Source organism: Homo sapiens, chromosome 7 (assembly GCF_000001405.40).
Source record: "Homo sapiens chromosome 7, GRCh38.p14 Primary Assembly".
Taxonomy (NCBI): Eukaryota; Metazoa; Chordata; class Mammalia; order Primates; family Hominidae; genus Homo; species Homo sapiens.
Window position 1 is genome coordinate 33,273,488 of NC_000007.14, and position 26,840 is coordinate 33,300,327.

At 35.0% G+C, this 26,840-nt stretch overlaps 1 protein-coding gene across 19 annotated transcripts in view, besides 1 other annotated feature; it reads left to right on the top strand.

Annotated features, from left to right (window-relative positions):
• BBS9 (Bardet-Biedl syndrome 9) overlaps positions 1–26,840 on the top strand; it is a 506,483-nt gene that overhangs the window by 144,203 nt on the left and 335,440 nt on the right. For all 19 annotated transcript variants that reach the window (NR_145412.1, NR_145411.1, NR_145413.3 and 16 more), the window contains one exon: positions 340–469. Coding sequence is in view for 16 of the 19 variants with exons in the window: in NM_001348036.1 (NP_001334965.1) it covers positions 340–469 (130 nt within the window). In the remaining 3 variants the exon portion in view is untranslated. The remainder of the gene's footprint in view (positions 1–339; positions 470–26,840) is intronic.
• Positions 14,016–15,215: an enhancer, noted in NCBI's record as "MED14-independent group 3 enhancer chr7:33327115-33328314 (GRCh37/hg19 assembly coordinates)". NCBI's record gives its function as "activates an origin of replication core promoter dependent on BRD2, BRD4, P300/CBP and CDK7 cofactors, and independent of MED14, by STARR-seq in HCT116 cells {active_cell/tissue: HCT116}" and the evidence as "EXISTENCE:reporter gene assay evidence [ECO:0000049][PMID:35650434]".

Consider the following 26,840-nt stretch of genomic DNA (forward strand, 5'->3'; position numbering starts at 1 on the left):
CTTTTATAAGCACAATAGTAATGTCTAATAGAATGAATTATCTGTAGTGAATGCGTAGTAAATCATTAGCTTAAATGTGTTACATATTAATGAAATTCATGCTTTCTAGATGAAATGCAAAAATGTTGGTGATTATCTAGTTATAGCTTCCAAGACTGTAAAATGATTCCTTTCTTTTTTATACTGGTAAAGTTACAAAATAATGTTTTATTATGTAAAATCTTTATGTATTAAAATCCAGGTGTTAGAATTAGTTTGTGCTATCAATTTCCTAAAAGAGATATACTTTTCCAAATGACTGTTTTCTTAGTGTCTCTTTTCTGTATTTTCAACTTACAGTTTCTGAAGGAACAATAAATACTTTGATTGGAAATCATAATAACATGCTGCATATTTATCAAGATGTGACACTGAAGTGGGCCACCCAACTTCCCCACATTCCTGTAGCAGTAAGAGTGGGCTGTTTGCAGTAAGTGATTTAATTTAACACAGTTTTTAAAGAGGATGTTAGTCAAGAAATTTTCTAGAAGTTCTATGAAATAATGACAAGTGATTTTATTAAAAAATTACAGGTGACATTGTAGTATGAATGTCAATAATAAAAGTAATTTAAAATATAACTTTTATTGGAAAGGAAGGATAATTAGTGCTATTAATCATTTTCATTTAATATTTCTAGCAAGATATCCTTAGTAAATTAAAGGTAAAAACTGGTGAAGACATCAAGAAAATGGTTTACTTGATAGATTATTCTTCAGAATACAAAAATATTTCTTTTAGCATTTGATGAGTCCCTTTTAGAGAACATTTATTGATAGACTGTGACGATATTACACTGTTCATTATAATAAGTTCTCACCTTGTTTCAGACGTTTCATTAAGTCAAGTGATGCAGAATTGTTAATGATCATGTGTTTACACAGTTTAGATTTTAAGTGGGGCTACTTTGTATTTAAATTGAAAAACAGAATTCATACTTTAACATTAAGTTTACAAAATTTATCAAAAATGACAGAAATGAGCCATCTAAGTGAGTAATTTTTCTAGGTCATCAGTATAAAAACTGAGATGCCGATGAACTTTTTAGCATCTTAGATTATGTTTAGGAATTGAAAATATCAGCAAACGTATAGAAATACAACTTTCCATAAAGCTTCATAGATTCTCAGATGTATTCAGTTCTACTTATTTATAATATTTTATTGAGCATTTAAAGGCCATACGGGGCGGGGCACAGTGGCTCACGCCTGTAATCCCAGCTCTTTGGGAGGCCGAGGTGGTTGGATCATCTGAGGTCAGGAGTTCAAGACCAGCCTGGCCAACATGGTGAAACCCTGTCTCTACTAAAATACAAAAAATTAGCCAGGTGTGGCGGCGTGTGCATGTAGTCCCAGCTGCTTGGGAGGCTGAGGCAGGAGAATTGCTTGAACCCAGGAGGTGGAGGTTGCAGTGAGCCGAGATCACACCACTGCACTCCAGCCTGGGTGACAGAGTGAGACTGTGTCTCAAAAAAAAAAAAAAAAAAAAAAGCCATCTGTAGAATTCTTCAGTGACACCTATAGTTTCTCATCAGGATGGAGTTGTTTTCTCCTATTAAGGGCTTGAGTGTAATATTATTGTTGAAGCTCAACGAAGGGTATTCATATTTGCATCAGTGTTTTATCTAAAGCCTGAATTTTAGAAAAATGGAAACGGTGTTTTGAAAACATTGAATATTTTAAAAAGAAGTTGCTTTCTTATGTTTTATGAGAAAAAACATATAATTCTAATTGCTATGCACTTAACACAAGTTATAGTTATTTTGTGTCTGAAAAATAATTTAAAAGTTTTGAGATTGGCTTTTGCAATGTCCATCACATGGTCTTTTTAAATTTAACAGAATATTCATACTCACCAGACATTTTGTATCAGATTTACTTAGAAGGATTTAGAACAGGAAAAACATCTTGCCAGCAGGGCAACATCAAGTATTTCACTTCTGGAAGAGTAATTCTTGCAGGAGTCTATATATCCATCCAAAGCTGTTCTCTTTGGTCTCTTAAGTGACAGTTCATTTGCAAAAAGACAGATCCACACTGGTGAGTATGGGTCTCATTTTGACTTATAATCTTCATGTCCTTCAGGAGCCAATATCTTGAAATACTTAAAAATTATTGGGGTTTTGGTGTGTATTTTGAGCACAGGAGAATGATGGGTAGAAAGACCTTATTGAGAACATTTAGTTGAAATATATATATTTTTACACATACATTATATACAAGGGATGTACCCATTTCAGGAGTCACCATACTGAGAAAAGTGCAAAGGTATGGCTTCTCAGCAGATATTTATTGTTAATTTATAGTTTTTGGTCTAGGTGCAACTTATGAGTTAACAGTCAATAATAACTGAAATATTATGAGTAAAACACCAAATTTTCATATAGTGTGCATCATGATGCTTATGTTCAAAAGTAGCCTGTCATTTTATTTTCGGTACCTGTGAGTGAACCTTCCTATTTCTCATAGCTTTTGCAAGATGACAGTTATAAACAATTAAATCCAAATATTGCCATTAGTATTTTCCACAATTAATATATAAAAATAAATTCTAATTGTTGAACTGAAGATTTTTCTTTTCTTACATATAATTTAACACAAAGTATAGGATTAGACTGTGTTTGAAAGAATTCCATTGTAATTTCTATTAGAGTTTTTTTCTTCTTCAGTAAACTATAATTAATGCATGAAAAAGAAAATAAAGATTGTAAAACACTAGACTCAATTAACATAAAGTTTAGGAAGGTTTTCTGCCCTCACCACAATTGTAAGCTGTATGCTACAGTTATTTAAATACCTTTTATCATAGTCACATCTTAAATCTTATTACTTATCTAAACTGAGGCAGTAAATGGACAATTTCAAAAATGATCATAAGTACAGAACACCACAACTATATTTTAATCACTTGCAAAAAAGGCCGTGGACCATGGGGAGAGCACTCAGCTCTTAGCTCATGCTGCGGTTTAGGTTATTAACCACAAAAGGTAAGGGAGCTTCCAGTTTTGCTCTTTGGCTGTCAGATCATTTACAGGGGGGAAGTTGGAATAGTAGCTGGTGTTACAGATACCCTACACAATGCAAAGCTAGTGAACACCAATATCTAGTCATCCGGCAAAAAAAGAAAAAAGAAAAAAACAGCATAAACTAGCAAGAGCATCTGCAGCCAACTGCAGGCTAATGCCACATCTTTTCTCAAGGCTCTATCCTGGGTATGTGAATGAAAAGCCCTGCTTTTGTCCTGATCAACAACAGCCTTCCTGTGAGGAAGATACTTCCTTGCCACGTGAGCGCTGGTGGGCTTCTCACCTTTGCAAGCAGTCCATAGGTGTGGTGGTTCCCAAAATGTGGCTTTTGCCATTCACCATGCTGCCCTCACTCCCTCACCTCATGGGCCACAAGAGGGTGGAAGAGCCAGGCAGATCTAAGCTGATGTCCCAGAAGGGGTCTGTGGTGGTGGAGACTCCATGGCAGACTTGGCAGGTGATGTCCAACTGCAGCCCACCTGTGAAGATCTGTTCTATGATGTAGTTGTGGTAGTTGGCCTTCTTCCCATTGTCATCACCTGGGGACAGACTGTGGCTCTGGGATTAGTGTCTGTAAACCACAAAGACAGCGAATGTCTAAGGGAAGAGTATGTTTACCCTGCAGAGGCCTGAGGAAGCCAGCGCTGACACTTTACAAGGCCATGTGAGGATGCTCATCATTTCATTAGAGGGTCTTGCTGTTATTTAATGTGACGAGAAATCACAGCACTTGGATTTTCAATGCTCCTGTTTTTGTCATTCCCTAAGAAGAGCCCCATATTTTTTATCTTGCCAACAAAGCACATCTAATGCCCAATAGCTGAGTAGGTAGTTGGTTCCCTTTTTATATGAGGGACAATTGAATAAATATTTTCCTGCAGACAGCTGAAAATATTGTGGGCCAGATACTGTAACCCCAGACAGGTTCTTTCTGCCTGTTGCACAAACAAAATCAATTCACTGTATTTCAGTAGAGAAAGAGTTTAATTGATGCAAGGCCAGCCACACCACACTGAAGAGGGACTTATTACTGAAATCAATCTCATTGAAGGCTCATAGGTTAGGGGTTTTTCAAAAGTTCTTTGGGGGAAGAGTTTGGGGTGGCTAGGCAATGGGTGCTTGCTGCTAATTGTTTGGAAGGTGCAATCATAGGGGTGTGGGAAATGATCCTGTTGCATGCTGAATCACTTCTGGGAGCAGTTGGTGGGTCCAGGTGGAACCATCATGGGTTTCAGAAATGCAAAAAACCTGTAAAGATCTCTTACAAGACCACTGTTAGGTTCTACAATAGTGATGTTATCTGAAGGAGTATTGGGGAAGTTGCATATCTTGTGACCTCTGGAATAATGGCTGGCAATTGTTTTTGTCTACACCTTAGCAAAATTCAGGCTACTCTATCCTCCTAGCCTGGTGTTCTCTCATTAGCTTTACAAAGACAGTTGAGTTTTGGGGAAGGGCTATTTTTACTTAAACTATAGACTAAATGTCTCCCAAAGCTAGCCTAGCCTAAGCCTAGGAATAATTAAGGGAGCTTGAAGGTTAGAGGCTAGAGGGATGTAGGTTAGATCATGTCTCCCCCACTGCCATAATTTTCTCACTGTGACAATTTTTGCAAAGCCTGTTTCACTTTCGCCCTTTGAGTTTCAGCATGCCTCATTCCCGAGGTGTAAGCTATGATATGGGAAAAGGGTGAGGACTGCTCTAACTTCTTCCTACTGACAGGGGGCATAGTTGTGGTATGGGTTGCCCCTAGGGTAAGAGGAGTGGAACTGCTTTGCATGTATTCATAGGTGCCTGATTGGGCTTCCAAGGCTTATATGACAAAGACGTTAATATTCTCACCCACAGTTTTAGCATAGCACTTAAGTGAACCACAGACTATAGGATAATGAGTAGATTGTTAGAAATACAGATTCACTAAATAGGAAATAGCAAATTTAAATATATCATCCCATATTTTTTTAATTTCCTAGTCCTGAGACTAGATGAGTTCAGCTGAACAGCTGTTTCCCATATCAGGAGGTGGCATTGCAGATGGGCTAGGCCTTTGTATTTGATGAAGGCAAACAGATTTTTTAATAAGAGGCATTTCAGACAGGTTCCAGGACTATTTCTTCACTGTAATTAGATCTCTGCCCTATGGGTCGACAGTGCCTCACCAGCAGGTACAGTGCCAAAGATGACCCTCAGTAGAAATAAGCAGTTGTAAGAGCTCACCTCTAGGTCTGTTATACTGGAGGAGGCTGATGAACCATGGGCAGATATTTGCAAGGGTGGATCCTGGATAAGCCCCCAAATTTGTAACTGTCTGACGAGTTCTTCCTGCTCACTGTACAAACAAAATTAATTCATGACATTGCAGTCGAGAGAGCATTTAATTGACGCACATCTAGCCATACCATGTGGGAGAGAGAGTTATTACTCAAATCAATATCATAATCTGTTAGAATTTTAAAGGTAATTATTACTAACTTAGCTATAGCTTATCTGTTTATTTATTTTTAGAGACAGGGTCTTGCTCTATTGCTCAGGCTGGAATGCATTGGCATGATCATAGCTTACTTCAGCCTTGAACTTCTGCCTCCTGTCTCAGGAGCCTCCTGAGTAGCTACAACTATAGGCATATGCCTCCTCCTGTCTCAGCCTCCTGAGTAGCTACAACTATAGGCATATGCCACCATTCCTGGCTAATTTTTTCATATTTTTTAGAGATGAGGACTCACCATGTTGCCCAGGCTGGTCTTGAACTTATGGCCTCAAGTGATCCTCCCACCTTGGCCTCCCCAAGTGCTGGGATTATGGGTATGAGCCACAGTGCTCAGCCCACATATTTATATTAGGAAGTTATTTGAAATTGACAGTACTGAAATAATTTTTCTCTTGCTTTTTATTACCTTTAGGGTTAAAGCTTTTTGATAGAAGCTTCCTTGGCTGAATGTGTTGATTTATGAAGGAAGTTGCTGCTTTTTAAATACGTTTCTTTTCAGTGAATAAGAAATGTTGGATTTAGATCAAGTTGATGCAATTATACTTAATAACAGCATTTTGCTCAGAGTCTAAGATGTTTTTTTTCTTTCCACTCCCACCTACTTGGCAGCTTTAGTCCTCTCTACCTTGTTTATTACATACCAGTTCCAATTCTGTCTGTGTTTTCTTCTTCCTTTTCAGATTAAATCTCATTCTCAATTAAATTGTTTTTTATTTAATTATTTTCAATTTTTGTAGGTCAGACTATGGGAAAATGAAATCAATACACAGGTTACAGAATCAGAAGAGCCCAGCATCTTACTTCTGCTGTGGTCAGTTTCTCAAGTGGCAAATAAAGATCATCATTTATCAGTAATGTTACTTTCTCTGGAGATATCAAATAAATATATCTACAAGTGTGGAAGTCCATTTGAATGAAACTTCACAAAGATGAGAACCATTCTAAACTTTGCTGGCAGCTCACAGCAAGCTTTAAAATCTTATTGCAGTACTTATTGCAGCTCATTTTTTAGTTTGAGCAATTTGGTCTAGTACTTCAATGTTTTTCTTCCTAGGCTAGGTCCACAATAGTCACTTATTTTAAATTTGTTACTTAACAGTTTCTTCTTTTTAAAAAATTTCCTAGCTTATTTAAATTTTTTTAAACATTTATTTTAGATACAGCAGGTACAAGTGCAAGTTTGTTACATGGGTATATTGTGTGATGCTGAGGTTTGGGGTACAGATTCTGTCACCCGGGTAGTCAGCATAGTACCCAATAAGTAGGTGTTCCACCCACAGCCACTCCCTCCCTCCCCACTCTTGTAGTCGACAGTGTCTGTTGTTCCCATGTTTATGTCCATGTGTGCTCAATAATACTTTGTTCTTTAGCTTTCATTGATCTAATATTGTTGACCAGAATGTTTCCCCCATATCTTTTCTGGATTTTCATGTTTCTATTTCGAGACATAGCTCAAGTCACATAAATAAGCCTTTCCTGCTTATCATGGTCTCCCTCTTCTCTGAATTTCTATCACATTCATAATTATGTTGATGAACTACTATTTGACTTTCCTAACTCTCCGACTAGATAATACATTCCATTTTACTTTTGCATATCACACTGAATAATCAGTGAGAAAGATGAACATATGATATATGCTTCCTAAATACTTAAAAGTCATTGTGGTTTTTATGTGTCAGGGGAAGAGCTGTGGCTCTAAAGACCTTATAAGATCTCTTAGTTGAAAAACCTTTTTAAAATATGAAAAAACAGACTCATAGAGGGAAGAAGGATTTTTTCTTGAAACCGAATTTATTAGCAAAATATTTTTAGTTCCAAAGTGACATTTTCTTTTTTGGTTTAAGTTTTGCTGTTAATTTGTCGTTTTTGTTTTTTTTTTTTTTTTTTTGCATTATAGAAAGAGAATGTGAGCCTATATACTTTTTGCTATCCTGTATTTTAAGGATTTTCTTTTTGAATTCTTACATTCCACAGAAAATTCATAAATATTTCTGGAATTTATGTAAGGTATAAATTCTGATATTTAGCACCTCTGCATTTTTATTGATATTTTCTTGTATTTGTTATAATGCAAGAGTAGAATATTAGTTTTTCATTACTATATTTTTCTGTCAGTTTTCTGTTGAATAAGCTTTTTGGTTTAGATATTCTATGTTAGTCAGCTTATATTCCTGATAGCTGTTTTTTTTGGTGAGTTAAAAAAATTTGTCACTATAAAATGACCTCTTTTGGGTTCCATTTAATTTTTTTTGTTTGCTTATTTTTTCATTTGTTTGCTTTGAGTTCACTTAGATATTAGTTATTGGTATGCTGTGGTCTATGCCTTTTTTTTTTTTTTTTTTTTTTTTTGAGGCAGGGTCTCACTCTGTTTCCCAGGCTGGAGTGCAGTGGTGTAATCATAGCTTATTGCAGCCTTGAATGCCTCAGTTCAAGCAATCCTCTCACTTCAGCCCCACAGGTGGCTGGGACTGCAGGCATGTGTCACCACACTCAGTTAATTAAAAATTCTTTTTTTTATAGATAGGATCTTGTTATATTGTCCAGGCTGGTCTTGAACTCCTAGCCTCAAGCCATTCTCCTGCCTCAACCTCTCAAAGTGCTGGGATTACAGGTGTGAGCCATTGTGTCTGGCCAATGCTTCATCTTTCAATAGGTTCATTTAATTTTCCCAGGAATGATATAGGGTGTTATTATATTCCATGGTAAAAATGTATTGTTATATTTCACCTTCAGACTTTATTGATGTTGCTTCCTTATTTTTTTAATTTTAAAATTATTATTATTATTTTTGTGACAGGGTCTTGCTTTGTTGACCAGGCTGGAGGGCAGTGGTGTGAACATGGCTCACTGCTGCCTTGATCTCTTGGGCGCAAGCAATCCTCCCACCTCAGCCTCACAAGTAGCTGGGACTATAGGTACATGCCATCACATCTGGCAGATTAAAAAAAAATTTGTAGAGATAGGATCTCCCTATGTTGCCAGATTGGTCTTGAACTCCTAGCCCCAAGAGATCCTCTTTCCTTGGCCTCCCAAAATGCTGGGATTACAGATGTGAGCTACCATGCCTGGCCCCTTATTTGTTTTTAAAATAGCTTTTAGAGAAAATAATAACCTTTGTGGTTTTTGCAAAAAGTATAGAACTGCATTTTTAAAAACTATTATTTAAAAGTACAAAGAAAAATAAAATACCTTTTTATTAAAGTTACATGAGTCTTATCAAATAGAATGAACATTTGTTGGCACTTTTAAATATCAACCCTGATATTTTTCTCTACACACGTGCAAATTTAGGCATAGAATAAAATTTACAAAACAGGACCACATGAATTTTATTTTTAATTTTTTTTTAAGATGGAGTCTCACTCTGTTGCCCAGACTGGAGTGCAGTGGCGTGATCTCAGCTCACTGCAACCTCTGCCTCCTGGGTTCAAGCAATTCTCTGCCTCAGCCTCCTGAGTATGTGGGATTACAGGTGCCCGCCACCATGACTGGCTAATTTTTTTGTATTTTTAGTAGAGACAGGGTTTCAATATCTTGGCCAGGCTGGTCTTGAACTCCTGACCTCGTGAGTCACCCGCCTCGCCTCCCAAAGTGCTGGGATTATAGGCGTGAGCCACCGTGTGTGGCCATGAATTTAAAATATAAATTTATTTCATTATATCCTAGTGGAAAAAAGAAATAGCTGAAGTGGAAGGAATATATGAATTTTTTATAAATGTTTATTCACAACATTATATTTTAGTTTCTAAAAGACTTCTCTAAACAAGAATAGAAAAAAATGCCTTTTTGGTTGATACCATTAGTCTTTTAAAGCTGCATTTCAAATTTTGGTAGTGTCTATTGACTTCCTATTGTGAAACATAAGGAAAATAGCATACTTATATTTTCTTCCTCTCTTCTTGCCAAATTCTGGTATTATTGGTATATTATTATTTATTTTGTCAAAATTTAAAACACTTCCATACATTTTTTGTAATCACAATTTCTATAGTGCTTTCATCCTGTTGATATATCTAAATGGAGTCAAAGCTTACCACTAGTTCTTTTACTATTCCTGAATTATCTTGATTCATTTCTTGGTGAGTTGAGTTTAATCATCCTGTAGTTTTGTGGAAAGCCGTGTAAGTGTTCTTACCTTAATAATTGTATATTGCTTTTATACCTGAAGATAACATCCGCTTCCCTCTGAAATTTGGACATTCCATTTGGTTTTGAAAGTTGCTGTGGAAAAGCCTGAAGGTAGCTTAATTTTTTTTAAAAAGACATCTTATTGGATGAATTACTTTTTCTGTCTGGATGCTCGTCTGACTTATTTCTCAGTCCTTAAGAATTAAAACATTACTCCTCATCAATTAATTATTTGTATATATTTGTTCTTTCTATTTTGATTTTTGTGATTTTTTTCATGTCGCTTATCCATGTTCTTGAGTTGGTTTTTAGTGTATTTATTCTCATTTAAAAAATTTATTTATTCTAGTTATTGCTTCTAGTGTGGCTTTCAACCCCGTATCTTTTGAGTTCTCCAAACAATGAAAAAAAGGGTTTCTTTTATTTCACTGATACAAGGGGTAACTATTTCTCTGAATTCTTCTTTTGTTTCTTTAGGAAGTTTTTGCTATGGAGATTTTCTGTCTTTTATGTTCTCATCTCCCTCATGTCTACCCCTTTCCTTTTTTTGCAATTTCCACACATACATCTCTTCTTATTTTACAGTTACTCATTTTTTAAATGGTGACAGCAGTTTGCTGAAGGATTGTGTGGGGAGTTTTGAGGGAGAGTGATGATTAGCTCAGATCACCTGAATATTTTCACCTTCTCACTCTGTTTATTTTCTCTTTTGCCCTGGGGGTCCATTTTCCTTGGTTTTCAGGGTTCAAGAGGCTAGTGAGTGTCACAGAAGCCCCTAACGGCCCCTGTCACAGGTCCTTGGTGCTAAGAATCAGTGGCTGCCGCTTGTCTTTCTGTCTTCATTGGTTAGGAAGCTGATAAAAGCACAGGTATAGGGCCATATCTTTTGCTTCCATTCTGGTTCTTCTGATGTCACTCCTTCTGTATCCCATGCATGTCCTTAAATCTCATTCCGTTAGTCTAGGACCTGACTCTCTCTTCCGCTTGAAGTCTGCAGAGTTGGTGCCAGCTCTTGGCATCCTATCATACTGTGGTCCAGAATTTAAGATATTTGGTAGGCTTCAAAGTTTGTTGATTGTGACTGTAGTCATTTCCTCATTCAATTTCCTTTTTTTGGGAGGTGGTAGTTATTGTAGTACTTTCTGCTGTTTTTGGTAAGTTTTGCTGTATTATCTTTGATTAGAATTCAAGTCTTTGTCAGTCTTTATTGTTGCTGAGGAGAAATCCATGGACAACCTGATTTTTGTTTTGTTGTAGGTAATCAGTTCTTTATGTTTGATTGCTTGTAGAATGTTTTTCATTTTTTCTGTAAATGCCACACTTGCCACCATATATCTGTATGATGATATTTTCCTTGATATTATTGGGAATGTAGTGAATTTAATCTGTTTAAACCATTTGTTTTGCTGCTGAAGAAAGGTTTCCTATGTTATATCTTTGATTATTTCTTCAGTTTTGTTTGATTTAATCTGTCCTTCAGGAAAACTAATATCTTTTGGTTGGCTACTTATTTTCTGTTCCCAATATCTGCTCTCTTTTTCCTCATAATTTTCATTTCTTTGTCATTTGTTTTCTCTGTTTTCTGTGGAAGTGTGTAAAATTTGTGTTCCATATCAGTTTTGAGAAACCACGGCACTGGTTTTGGTCTTTTCTATGTCTACAGTGGAAGATTTTTTTAGTCTGCTGAGGTACTGTCTTTCTCCCAGCCACTTCCCTCCTACCTCCTGTATCTTTGCTACTCTTAACCAGTGTAGTATATGCCAAGTTACAATTCCCATGAGGCACTAGTACCAAGTACATCTTACTTTGAAACATGTTTATAGTGTTTATTTTGGGGCTTTATCTCTGAGTATATAATATGCCATTATTAATCTCTGTTCTTTACTTGGACAATTTTATAGAATTTGCTACCTTTGTTTAGAAGTCAATAGATAGTGTAGAGGGGCCACGGGCAGTGGTAGAGGTTGGAAAGATTCAAGAGGGTAGTTATAAAATATGTTGCTTCAATCATAGGTCACTAACAGATGTCTGTACAGTTTTCTGGTTCATATAGAACTTGGAATTCTGAATCAGATGGGGCAGTGAGTTTATAATCAGAAATGTTAGGTAGAGTGACAGAACTCTTGGCTTTCATGGGTTCCTATCAAAAGAGGAGAGCTTTGGTTTAGGGCCTAATGAATCTGCTATTGCATTGTGGTATACTGTAACTTAACATGAGTTATGGGGGATGAAGGAACAGAATTATGTCATAGTTCGTATATTTTTTCTTCCTCTTACTATTGGTACCTCAGTAAACATAATTTGGACAAATTATGTCAATCTCATTGAAGGATTTTGGGGGTAAAATTAGTTGCATGATTTTTGATGGTCATCGTTACATGCATGCATATATTTCCATTGTGTCAGATAAAAGGTCTTTATGAGATGACCCCTAGATATTATATTGATGGGGCTTAAAATGGAGAAGCACAAGAATTGTGCTTATAATGTCCTTATAGCCATGTGGCTAAACCATTATTGAGGTATGGCCTGTCATTTGGTACACTACTTTCATAAACTGTAGTATGGCTATTTTGATAAGTGTTTTATTCACATGGAAAAGACCTTGTAGGAATCATTAAATAAATTAAAAAGCCATATCTTTATTTTTATTTGTCAGTCAAGGTTATAATTCTCAGAAAAATTCTCCTTAGGAAAAGTTAGATATCTTCTGCTTGGCTCATGTTTTCATGATCATTTTATTTTTAATGTAATAATGTAAAACACAGCATCCTCCATTCTTATAAACAATATCATAGTAATTACAGTTCCAGATTGTTTGATTTTGTTACATTCCATAGTAAGTCTATTTAATTTGCCTGGCAGAGATTTTAGAAACACTGTATAGCCAAGGATAAGTAGTTGCAGTTAGAATGCCAGTTGGGTTTATGATTTTCTGTTTTATAAATTAAATGTTTCAATGGTAGAATTCTACTTATTACCACATGTTTCCACTGAAAAACTTCTTTAGAAGTACTGTCATCAAGACTGTGAACATCTCTTAAAAATGAAACTCTCAATCTCCAAGAAAATAATTTATACCGGTAGGAAAAATCCTTTTGTGTTTTGGGTTCCTCATTCTGTATCCCATAATTGATATATGGGGGATTCAGTTGCAGTAGGGTTGTAGCCAAAAGGAAAGTGTTTGCTTTTCACTAGTTATGAAGGGTTTGCCTTTCACTAAGCACATACCTTCTTGGCCCTTTGGTCCCGGAGATCATTTCTATCAGGTTAGTGACTTTGCCGTTCATTTTTCTTAGAAAACACATGTGATTTAACATTTTTTTCTCCTTACTTCAGATAGTGGGTCCTCCTGATAACTGAAATTTGACTCTCTGGTTTCAAAGATAGAATGAGTTTATTTTTATGGGTTCCTGAGAATTCTGGGAAATAGCTCTATTTCCCAGAGGAAAAAGTTTGTGTTTTCTTAGTTACTTACTGTAGAATATAAAAGAGAAAAAGTGATTTATTTGTGTGTGGGGGGCAGTAACATAAAGTTTATATGCGGCTAAGCTCTTTGCAGAAGTACTTTGAACTTTAGAACTTTGGATGGACTTAGTCCTTTATTCTGTTAACTGGTGTATGGCCTGTTTTTTAGAACTAGCTTTGGAGTGCAAAAATCTGAGTTATCACCAGAATAAAAAAAGAGAAATATCTCTGTATCTCTGTTTCCCAGAGGAAAAAGTTTATATTTTCTTAGTTGCTTACTGTAATATAAAAGGGAAATGGGAAAAAGTGATTTTTTTTGATAACATAAGATTTATGTGCTACTAAGCTCTTTGTAGAAGAACTTAGAACTTTGGGCTTCAGAACTTTGGGTGGACTTAGTCCTTTATTCTATTAAGTAGTATATGACCTGTATTTCAGAACTAGCTTTGGAGCACAAATCAGAGTTATCATCAGAATAAAAAAAGAGTGTAAATATATAACTCTTATGGTATAGGATGTTGGGTGACTTAAAATTAGAATCAAAAGGAAATGCAAGAATTAGCAATTTTTATTGCTTGCTATGCACTAGCATCATTTCATCATTAGACTCTTAATTTCTACAAAGAGCTACATTGGTAGCTTATTCAAAACTTTCTAAGTCTTTAACACATCAGGTTTAACATTTTAAAAACCTTAGTAAATCCCCTACATCTTAAGAAAAAAGATTTAGGAGAGTGATGGTGCATGTTTACATTTCAAGATAACGGTATTAATTGAAATTACTAAAAGTTGGGTTGAAAAGTAAAATAGATGAATAGTCATATCATTTAAGTCATTTTTGGAATTCTAACTTGAAACTTGTAAGCAAATTAAGTCTCACCTGATAAAATAGGTCTTTAACTCTAGGTTATCTGATCAACAGAACCTGCCAGTTAACAGATTGTGGGGGTTCCCAGATATTCTAAAATGTGGAACTGTATTCAATGGTTTTCCTGCCTTTAAATAGAGAAAATCCACTGACTTTTGTTCCCTAAAGTGCAGTTTACTATTTAAAATAAGTGTAAAATAAAAGAATTGCTACCTGCTTTATTAATGTGCTAAAAAAAGGATAGATACCCATATAATGTTTTGTGTGTGTAATATTTAAGACTATACAAGAAAACTGAATTAATTTAAGGTTAAAATGTTATTGTTTTGAGAGAGGAGAAAGGAAGAAACCAGTCAGGCAGGCAGTTAGGGTGGGTCCTCACTTAAATTGTTTCATACTAAAGAACAGCCTGAAAAATCAAGCTTTGGGCACAGATGAGGGAACTTGCACAGCGGGGCTTGCCTAAGACATGCCCACAGCTGCACAGGTAAGAAAGGATAAACGGGTGACTTGTCCAGACATGCCTGCAATGGAAAATTCTGTCTCCTGAAACATGTGCAGTAAGGGGAACAAAGCAATATGGATTAACTCAAGCTAAGGACCCACATGCGCACTAGGAGGATGGGGTGGAGCTACCAGAAATTCGTGCCTTATGCCGTTATGCAACCCAGCCCTCCTTTGGTTTCTTATAAAAGGCTTTACATTCAGCTGTAAAAATGGCAACTCTTTTCCAGGCTCCCTGTTCATGGTGGAGAGCTTTCTTCTTTTGCTTATTAAACTTTTGCTCTAACCTCAACCTTTTTGTGTCCACACTACTTAATTCTCTTGGTTGTGAGACAAAAAACTCTGGGTGGTACCTCAAAATGAGAGACTGCTACATTGTGGTGCATTGGCAAGACTGTAACAGTTTCAATCAAGTAGAAGATGACAAAATGTTATTCTGGGAATTCGTTAACGTTGAATAATGTAACATGATGAACTATGTTCTATTAATAATTAGCACGTATGTTCTAGTCTTGAAACAACTTGGCTAGATAAAAGCTTTGCTTAGTGAAGAAAGACTTATTACCCTTTTTCCTCTTGTATTTCATCAAAAAATTACCTTTTATGTTCAAATGTTTTTGAGCAAGAGTATTTTTATATTTGTTGATAGTTAGCATGAAGTATATATTATGAAGATGTTTTATGAGCATACATTTATTGGCTAATGAGTAACATGTTATTTCCCAATAACACTGTTCTAAGAATTTATATGATGATAATAGCAATTTGTATCATTATGTGCCAGGCAATATTCTGAATTCTTTGGACATATTAACATATTTAATTCTAAAACAGTTACTACTATTATTACTATTATTGTTATCCTCATTTTATAGATGATGTAACTGAGGCATAGAGAGATCAAATAACATGCACGAGCTCATAAGAAAACATGTAAACAGCTAATTACAGCCTAAGTGAGTTGGTGTTACAATATAGAAAAGCAGAATACGGTAGGTCCATTCAGAGTATTTATCCACCATATTGCTAGAAGTCCCAACAATTTTTGCTTTTACTGAAAAACTCTGATACATTTCCCTTCTCTAAGATAATTGCTTCCCTTTCAGATTAGTGCGATTCAATATTCTATCTAACAAGACGTATGTTATTTAGAGTTGTTAGGGTAAACACCTGGAAAAACCAGAAAGTGGAAGCCTAAAACAAAAGTTATTACTTTTGGAGTGTGGAACTGAGGGGTGGAAGGGCCTGGATGAGTTCCTTAAATATCTTTTAGAAAGTCTCAGACATTCTGAAAATCAACTTGAGTCTTTGGAAAACTAATGATGCAGCCAAGCCTCTTTCATTTAAATCTAAAATAGTTTAGATGCATTAGATTCAAACATAAATTATTTGGAATGAATAAAAAATGAAAGATAAATTATTAAGTATTTTAAGGACAGTGTTATGTAAAAGTGTTTTTTCTTTTTATTTGAGAGAAAAGTTATGGCTTGTGAATTAGAAATTACTAGTATTTCAGTAGTCAAAATACAATGAAAAAAATGGTAGTGTTTGCATTTCAGATGCAACATTTTGTATACTACTTTTTATCTTTAACTTGTATTTATTTCCATTTCTCTCATCTTCTTATTCCATCTTGTTACCTCCAAATTTTAAATGGGTAGTTACAATTCATATTAATTGAATATTTAAAAATTTTCTTGTAAATGGGTAGTTACAATTCATATTAATTGAATATTTAAAAATTTTCTTGGGGCCAGGTGTGGTGGCTCACGCCTGTAATCCCAGCACTTTGGGAGGCCAAGGTGGGCAGATCACTAGGTCAAGAGATCAGGACCATCCTGGCCAACATGATGAAACCCTGTCTCTACTAAAAATACAAAAATTAGCTAGGCGTAGTGCTACAGGTGTGCCTGTAGTCCCAGCTACTCAGGAGGCTGAGGCAGGAGAATCACTTGAACCTGGGAGGCAGAGGTCGCAGTGAGCCGAGAGTGCACCACTGCACTCCAGCCTGGTGACAGAGAGAGACTCTATCTCAAAAAAAAAAAAAAATTTTTTTAGAAGGAAATTACTTTGAATTGTAATATCTACAGTTCGCATTTAGGATTGAATGTCGCAATAACTTAAAGCATTTAGGAATGTAAAAATTCTGCTTTTTGCCTTTTATAAAACTTTACTAATGATGGAGCAAGCAAATATATCTGTTAAGGTCCTATAGTTAGATAAAGACCTCCACTTTCCAAAACCTTAGCAACGTGCATGCCATGTGAATGCAGCATGGGGCTGGTGTGTGAGTGATCAAGCAGCTGCAACACAGTTTATATGGAGACAATATCCAGAGTACTTAAAATTTAAGTCAAATATATGAAAAATTAAAACACAATCACATGGGGAATAATGGAGGGATGCAGTTAAAAAGTTATCTCACTGCTTTTTCAATATCTGCAGGCTTCCAGATAGTAGGAAATTCTTTGTTCTTCCCTTCAACCCATCTGTTGTTCCTTAGTGTAACGACATCACTGCAACTACTGCAGCCACTAAAGCATCGACATTAAAAAAGGCAAAATTTAGAACTTTTTACAGAGTTTTATTAAACTACAAGTTTGCAGAACGATTTGGTCTTTAAATTTTTAAAAAATTTTTTAGTGTGTGTAGCATAGTGATATGATAGAAGTAATGCCCAGGCAGACATACTCTAAGATTAGAACAGAATTCTCAGTATTTGTGTTGGTATAGAAATTTTTTTATGACTTAGAATTAAACATAGAGATTTCTTTATGTATCATTGAAATGAATTACTTTTTAAGTAAGGAGTATGGTTATAAATAGGTGGTCCATTAAACCTGTGTATTTGCTTTATTCCTTTTTGTCCAGACTGTTACATCTTTGCCAGAAATGGAAATGTGTATTGCTGTTTCCTACTCAAAAATTACTTTAAAGAAAAAAGTATTAGTTATTTATGCTAATTTCAGTTCAGTAAATATACCATTTTTGTAGTTAAAAATTTAAAATAGGGTACAAAGCAAAATAAAGTTCTCCTTAAATAATATGAAATATCATAAAATAATTTTTATTTATTTGTGCCTGCCTCACAGCAGACCTTATAAATACTATTTGTTTCTGTTTTGATATTTTTATCAGATAGAATTTGTGTTTACTAGCATAGAATTTAGATAGTAAATTCTTTACTTTTAATCAATGAAATCACAGTTCTCATAGTAATTTTGGATCAGTTATTTATCTTAACTCTTTTTTATTTCTTTATTCCTTAGTTAGTGTCTAAAATCTGTTCTCTTAAGAAAAGTTAAAGTTTTGTTAAAATCACAATAATTTTTGTCCAGGTTACCTTTGCCTATTTTTAAATGCTAAAATACTTAAGCAATAGTTAGATGTTGCCTTTAGGAAGATTATTGTTACCTTCCTTATGTTATTTCTCCCAAATACATATCTTTCTTTCAGCTTGTATATATTTCATGAAAATTCATGCCTATTTTGAATAATTTTTTCAAGATTATGTCACATTTGAGTTCAGGAAATCCAATTGTGAGTAGAAGTATATGTTACTTTACGTTTAGAATATTAAAATGGATTAATGAACCTTGAGTTTTGGGAAATCTCATTCTTAAACCATTTGAACCTCCAAGTGATGCTCAGATATCACTAGCCCATAGAAGACCACAGAAAATTTCATTAACCCATAGAAACCCAGTGAATTCTACAAAGTTTGGTGTTCTAAAGATAAGCTAACTGAATAGCAGTGTTAAATGGAGTTTATTCAGGAAGCCATGTAGCATGGAAACAAGGCCTTTGTCTTGCAATATGAATTTTAATAGGTCTTAATTCCTTAAGTAGGTTTTTTCTATAGCTGGGACTGGAGTCCTGTGGTGTGTAGTCTTTAGGGCCGCTCCACTTTCAAGTCTTTGGGGAGAACTACCTTCTCCAGCTGAAGTTTTCTCCAGGGAATTGGCTTATAGAAAGATGTTTCCTCTTTCATATAGGGACCACCCTTATTCAGTTTCTTCATGCTTGGCAATGAGTTGATTTTCAGTGAATGTTGGTTGAGTGAATGAATGAATGAATGCATGATGAAGAGATTAATGAAAGAATGATCTGAAAACAAGTGACTCACTTAGAAGAGGGTTCAAAGTCATGTTACTTCACAGCCTGAATACCTTGCCTGTGGAAAATTAAAAGAACATTTAGTTTGGCTACTTAAAAATGTTTTTTTTTTTCCCCCTGAGACAAGGCCTCCCTCTGTTGCTCAGGCTGGAGTGCAGTGGTGTGCCCATAGCTCACTGCAACCTCTGCCTCCCAGGCTCAAGTGATCCTCCCACCTCAGCCCCCCAGGTAGCTGGGACCATAGGTGTGTGCCACCACACCTGGCTACTTTTGAATTTTTGGTGGAGATGGGGTTTCACCATGTTGGCCAGGCTGGTCTTGAACTCCTGAGCTCAAGCAATCTGCCCACCTTGGCCTCCCAAAGTGCTGGGATTACAGGCATGACCCACCGCACACCATCTATTTGTGGAACATTTATTTCTTTGTTTAGGTCAAACTTTTTACTGTTTTTATTATGTCAGGTGAATATCCCATGAAGAGTCTTAGATCCATATATAATTAAGGTGATAATTGCAATTTGAACTTATTGTATGCATAAATAATATTTGCTATGCTGATAAGTATGCCTATACTGTTACTTTAAATTATAGAAAAAAGTTGGCCGGGCACAGGGGCTCATACTTGCTCTCCCAGCACTTTGGGAAGCCAAGGCAGGTGGATCACGAGATCAGGACTTCGAGACCAGCCTGACCAAGATGGTGAAACCCTGTCTCTACTAAAAATACAAAAATTAGCCAGGCGCGGTGGCAGGTGCCTGTAATCCCAGGTGCTCGGGAGTCTGAGGCAGGAGAATCGCTTGAACCTGGGCGGCAGAGGTTGCAGTCAGCTGAGATCATGCCACTGCACTCCAGCCTGGGCAACAGAGTGAGACTCCGTCTCAAAAAAAAAAAAAAAATTGTAGAAAAAGTTTCAAAAGAAATTATTAGCGTTGACCTCATTTTATACCAACAGTCATGAGTTCAAGTGTTTTTATGTACAAAATTTCTCATACCACTTTCAAAAAAGCAGATTTGGTTATCTTCTAATGGACCATGTCAACATTTCATTTATATATTTTACCATGAAAATATTTTATATTTTTATTAAACTTGAATACATGCATATTATCATTTTCCACATAAAATATGTAATTATGTGAAAGTGAAAATAGAAGGGGTTATAGCAAAGAAAAATTGGTATCAGAATTATACAGTATCCTGATGCTCTTTGGGAAGAACTTCAGAATTTTAATGATGATATAGACAAGCAGATGACTCACAGACACGGAAAAAAGGATCTGTAATTGTTATATGAGAGGAGATAAATCAACACAGGTCAAAGTATGTATGGATTTCTACCTAGGAGGCCCTGAACACATTCATACTGTATAATGCAGACTTGTATTGTTTCTATTGAAATATTGTTTCTGGAGGTCCCATGATGTCATCTAGGAAAAAGTATCAGTACAGAAAATTTATAATAAAATGAAGTGTCTTTCGGGAAATATAAGACCAAGTGCAGTATGCTATTATTTCTTTCCATTTTCCCTTTTCTGTATGTCTAAATAGGATTGTGTCTCATTTAGTCAATATATAGAACCTATCTCTATAGACTATTTATTAGACTCAGTACTCTAGTTAAATCATAGAGATTCCTATACTGTTAATTACTACAATTATTAATGAGTAATATGCTGTATTTCTCCCAAATATCTTTTTTTGTTCTTCATTATATACCTCTTTATTTCATCACTTTCTTCTGAGAGACTTAGTTCTTTTTCTTCGTGAAGAGATCTACATAAAGTGTAGGTTTTAGTGTGACTCCTAGAAATATTTTTATGTTACTTCATTTCTCAGTGGAGCACAAGTTATATTGTTCTAATGTGGGGCATCTTAAAGACTTTTTCTCCATTTCTCTCAGAAGAGCCTAGGAAGAACCTCTAAATTGAAGGCACAGAAACACAGCATTGTGAATCTTAGTCTAACATATACTTTGAAGCCAGTACAAATAATTTATTTTACATTATATGATGCTGTTTAACTTTGATCTAGTCAATTAAAACAATAAGACTACTTATAAATATTTTTCCATTTATAAATGTTTACTTCTGTTAGCAGCAGCAACCCTCCCCCCCATATGCCAAACACACACACACTCACGCACACAATACTTCCATCTATCTATCATCTATCTATCTATCTATCTATCTATCTATCTATCTATCTATCTATCTATCTATCTATCTATCTCTTTGTCCATCCATCCATCCATCCATCCATCCATCCATCCATCCATCCACCCATCCATCCGAGTATGTATGTACATATCTTTCTTCCCTGGAGTGTGAGTGGCTTGCCAGAGAGGGCAGGCAGAGGCATCTTGGCTGGAGGCTCCAGTTAATTTAAGACAGTGGGCATTATTAATAGGCAGCATCTGCCCTCTCCCTTTTGGTAATGTAGTGACCCTTTTAGCTGCTGGATACCCAAGCTTTAAGAGGCAATCTTTAATGTGATATCTTAGAGTAATGTTCTTACTAAATAAATCACATTTAGAAGCTTTTATGCAATCATAGTCATGCTTGTATATTAAAAAGTCTAAACATGATACACATTAAAAGTGAATTTATATTCATGAAGCCAAATTTGATTTTCTGGTTAATGATGAATTCATCTAGAAATTCAAATGGTTGCTTTTAGTGTTCATCTATGTAAACTGACACAATAAAAATGTAAGTTATGCTATGATATTCTGTGCTTCATTGCAAGTGGTTTTCTTGATAATAAATTTATTTTGCCAAATGCTTTTTCAAATAGTCTCTTCTTTCCTAAGTAAACTTGCTCTAGTTGGAAGTAACTTAATAGGTTTACTGTTACAATGAGACCAGTACAATCTTTTATTTAGGCATTTTATTTAGGAGCTTTTTCTTCAGTTAGTACCCATTCAGTTAGAATGGGCATATTGAACATTTAAAATATGGTTCTAGACTAAAGGATATACAGAGACATTACATAATTTTACACATTTATACTGCTAAGGCAAGCATACGTATTCTACCTATTCATAATATTAGAGAAAAAGAGATACTAATTGCCATTGATGTTTAAGAGTAAAATTCTTAAACCATAGTGGATAATTTCCTGATATTTTTCTCCTGTGTCATTTTCTTAATGGTATTTATACACAATTTTTGGTACTTAATTTTAAATTTGAAATGAGAAATTACTGAACAGCACTTTAAAAATTAAACTTCAAAGACTACAGATTATGTAAAGTTTCAATTATTTGAAAAACAATAAAGTAAGCAAAATTAAGAAATAATTTTTTAAGAAACCAGATTTTTTTGTGATGCTTAAATTTTGAACTTCTTTTTCACTCCTAATTCATCCCATTTCCCCCCATCTTTTAAAATTTCTGCAGAATTTTTTCTACCTTGCATGTAAGTTAAAAAAAATAGTCTATTATTATTTTAGTTTGTGGAATTCAAAAAAACACAGTTCCAGATAATATTGGAATAAAGCAACTTTCCAATTTAGAAAACACTGACATTGAAGTAAGATATGAGAACTTAAGATACGGTTAAGAGAGAACTTAAGATATGGTTTCTTGATAAATCAAGAAAAATTTATATATTGCAATGTGATTTAATTACTATACTGACATCTGTTTGATCCAGACTGTTAACAAAATAGTCTAGAAAATATTGTAATTGGAATTTTTGGTCAACAGTGAATTTTTTTAAGTTACAAATTGACACCACTCTTTATTTGCAAAGAAAAGATAATAAAATTTTTTATACCAAAAAGAGAAATTTTTCACATAAAAATAAAAGGTGGAATATATAAAATGGGTGAGGATATCCAGAACCTTCCATGTAACATGAGTAAGAAAAATCCCAACAATTAACAAACTCATTTTTCAATGGCCTATTAATCACAGAATTAAACAACCATGTAAAAATTAAACCTACTTATACGTTGAAATACATTTTAATTCATCCATAAATTCAACACACTTTAAAATGGGTAGAAAAAGATTTTAACTAGCTTAAAAAACCCAAAATAGATTACTTAAACTGATGTACTATTGCTTAAGAAGTATCTCTGGAATTCTCCGTTAGAGACTCCTGATAGTTATTTTCTGAACATATCTTGGAATCAGTTAGTACTTTTAAGTTATAAATCTGTGGAAAATATCACATACCGTATGTGTAAAACAATTAGAATTTAATTTATGACATTTGATCGTATTTTGATAAAATTTTATGGACAGTGTAAACAATCTTGATACCCAATTGCTTTAACACCATTATTTTCTATTCACAAGTTGCATTATTTGGCAATGATAACTTCATTTTGAGTTTGTAGTTTGGAAGTTCTTTTAAGTCAAGGAATAATCACCTGCTTTATTGAGATTGTTGTAACCTAAAAGAGCAATATGGAACTCCTAGTTAAATGAGACCTCTGACCCAAACTTGGCAATTCTCTCAGCTAGCCAGGGAAAACACTTGCAGGGTTCATTACTTTCTTCTGTCATCTTGAGAGATTCTACCCCATTTTTCTCTTCTACTGACCAACCTTTGACTTCCCAGACTTGTGTTTCTTTCCAACAGAGGCGAATAAACACTCTTGGTATGTGAAGATTAAAGGCCCATGGCCCCTGTAGGTGCCCTGAAGCAAATTTGTTCAGAATTAATTTGGCACTTCCACTTGTGGTTTGTTTAGGATAGGAAACCAGATAGAATTCAATATTGTATCTTGAATCTTAGGACCCAGTACTTTTGTTACAAACAACAGAAAAAGAAAAGGTTTAGGTGCCAGTAACATTTACTCTTCAAAGGAAAGTTTTTGTCTTTCTGTGCCTGGTTATCTTCAAAAGTTGCAGAGTACAAAAGAAAATTTCAGTGGAAATATATTTCTTTCTGATATAGAAAAGACCTTTAAAAGAGTCATTGTTGACATGAAAGGGAAAACATTCTGATTTTCTGGGATGCAAGCCTTAGAAAACAAGCCGGAGTAAAAGAACATGTAGAAATGAATAACATATGACTCCAGGAGATGACCTGTTGTGAATTATTTCAGAATTTAGTGGATATCTCAGATGGTTGATTTTTCTCTACATGTTTGCTCCTATGAACTTACCTTCCTGAGTGGGCATCAGATTTGTTTTAGAGGTGAAAATCTATTCAATGAATACCACTGTTCTAAATACATAAAACTGTAAACCATTGCTATGGAACATACCATGTGATATGTACTTTAAAGAACAAAATAAGTTTCTGTATGACTAAAGAATATAAGGAAGCATTTCTCTAAGAAATTGTAATCATTGATCAGTCTTTAGCGGTGGGTGACTTGGTTTATAGATTTTAGAATCTAAAACTGGTAGATGTGTTTTGCCTATTATAGTTTGGTAATTCTGGCATCATATACCTTAATCTGGAAACAGTAGAAGAATCAAGAAACAGAGAAGCAAGAAGGAATAAACTCTTTTTTTAGGCACCTACTTGCCACCTTTTTTGTGGAGTGGGCAACAAAAGATGTATCTCACAATATTACCAATGCAGTGGACTCCTGGAAGTTTGTTGATTATATTTTATGTAGGAACAGAAAAAGCCAAAAGCAGGCATTTGATAATACTTCTGAGATAGGTTGGTCAATAATACATTCAGAATCATGAAAGGATGCTTCTCTTTAAAAATTGAGCATAGGACAGATTTAACTTTGTTAAACACAAATACCATCATCTTATTGAAAACTTCTTGGACAATTATAGTACCTTATAAATAGTTATCAAAGACAGTTTTTCAGTCCTCTATGGTTTTACCGTAGTGAACCTTTCAAAATTTCATTGGGTAGAAATTTTATTACAGCCTTTTCTTTTTTTTAGGAGAGATATGCTCAGTTCTCTTATTTGTTGGTAAATCTAGACTTTGAATTGTTAATTTGAGGATAAATAGAAGAGAAAGGAGAGATGGGAGCTATAGAAGCATCTTAATTCAGTAATGTCATGGTTCAGGAATATTTTCATTTTTTTTCATTTTAATTTTTTTTTATTTGCCAGGTTCAACATTGACACATAGGAATATTTTTTAAAGCTGTATTTTTAGTGTTGGGGTATTATAAAGGTTAAAGCAGAAGACTCCGACCATGGCTGATTAACTTACTCATTAGCTCTGAGACCTTGGGCAAGCTATTTAAGTTCTCTGTGCCTCAGTGCCTCCCCGCTTTTCTGTAAAATGGGTTTAATAATAATATCTGCTTTGTGGGGTTATTTTGGGGATTGGATAAGTTAACTTTTTATTAGACTGCCTGGCACATGACATTATGTATGTTGTAGCCAACATTACTGTTAGTTTTGGCACATTTACCAATATGCCCACTTTTAACAATTATTTTACTTAGAGAAGCTATAAATACAGTTATTGAATTAAATCCCTTTAAGAATGATAGTTGTTTCTGAATGATATCTCTCTTGAAAGACTGGGCCCAAGATAGCAAAGCTAGGCAAAGAGTTAGGTATTTCCTGGTGAATGTTATGTAATGGGCCACTTAGAAACATCATTTAGTGCCCATGTGTGCAGAGTTCTGTTTTAGCTTCCTTTGCTTGCTGGATTGCAACAAGTTCAAACAGTTCAAATCAGAGGGAGCTGGGAAATGGTGTTTCTTAGAGGCATTTGATTCAGGAAGGCAGCTAGTTATGGCCTGGAAGATCAAGGACTTGAACTGTAGTCCACATAGAGGCGAGGCTGAACTACTGGTACCTTGATGCAGTATAAAGGAACAAGTCACGCTTTTCTTTTTCCATCTATTGAATCAGTACCATGGCCAACCTGGGAGAAAATATTTTAGTTCATGGTTAAAACAGCAGTCAGAAGTCTTTTATTGTTGTTGATAACTGTTTTTCACTTAGAGAAATTTTGGAAGATGGTTATCTGTTTAGTGCTGCCAAATATATTGTTATTATGCAGACCCTGTGGGCAGCAGCTGCAGTTGTTTTCCAAAGGACATGCAACCAATCTAGCTATCATGCTTCAGCATTGCTGGCTGTATTTGGTCTTTTTATTCACAATTGCATGCATACTAAGACTTTCAGTCATAATATTAAAACCGAAGGATGGGTACTGTATTTTGATGATCTGTCTTCTCTTTCATCTGTTCTTATTTTTAGTCTTCAAATTACCCTTATTTTTGAACATTTCTGATCACAATTATATATTCAATTTCTATGTAATATATTCTTTTTTAGGGAGTTCAGGGAAGTTGTATATGATGTGCTGAAATGATTTGCTTTGACTTGACCCAATTATAATTTTCTTTAGCCCTGAGCCAGCTGAAATAAGATTGAGCTAATTTATGCCACTGTTTTTCCAGTAATGTTGAAGTAGGGCAGAACTACTTATTATGATAATGTTCTCTTCCAAAATAATAGTAATATTATTATAATTTAATAATAATCAATATTATTATAATTTAGTAATATTCACAATTTAGTAATTTAATATTTACTAAATATTAAATTTATAATACTAGTTTAATATTTACTAAATATTAAATTTATAATACTAGTTTAATATTTATTAAGCCTGTGCTTTGCATCAATCAGGCACTGGGCTAAGCCCTTATTAATTCACACCAAACAATAATTTTTGAAGCAGGTACTACTAGTATTTTTTTATTTTACAGATGAGATAAGAGACGCTTAGAAACGTTAGCAAACTCTTACAAAGCCAGTTTTGGAGCAGGGATCCAATTTTAGTTGTTTTTGACTTTAGTGTTGGGGTTCTTATTCCCTATTCTGTTTTTACCACCTTCCATGCTATAAATTGGCAAGCAGTCTTGGCAGCAAATAGATGTTCACTCAAATGGGGTAATTGAGAGAGTAGAAATGAACAAAGAGACACTAGCAAGGAATGGTGAAGCATCTTGGCACTAACAACAATGGGAACTATTACCGTTCCTGTATCTGAAAGGGCCAGAGAAGGGATTTGTTATTGGATCCTGCAGAGAGTAGTGTAGCTATAAGAGAGGGCCATCTGATAGGAGCTGTTGCCTTAGATTGATGGACACAATCAATCCTGGAGACTCAGCAGGGAGGGAGGTGAGGAAGTTAATACTCTGACCCCACCTTCCTCCCTCTCTCCAGTCTCTTGCCAATGATTTTCATTGGCCAAACTCAACTGGAAGCCAGAGGGAAAGGGATCCTTGGATGCAGTGGTCAGCTTC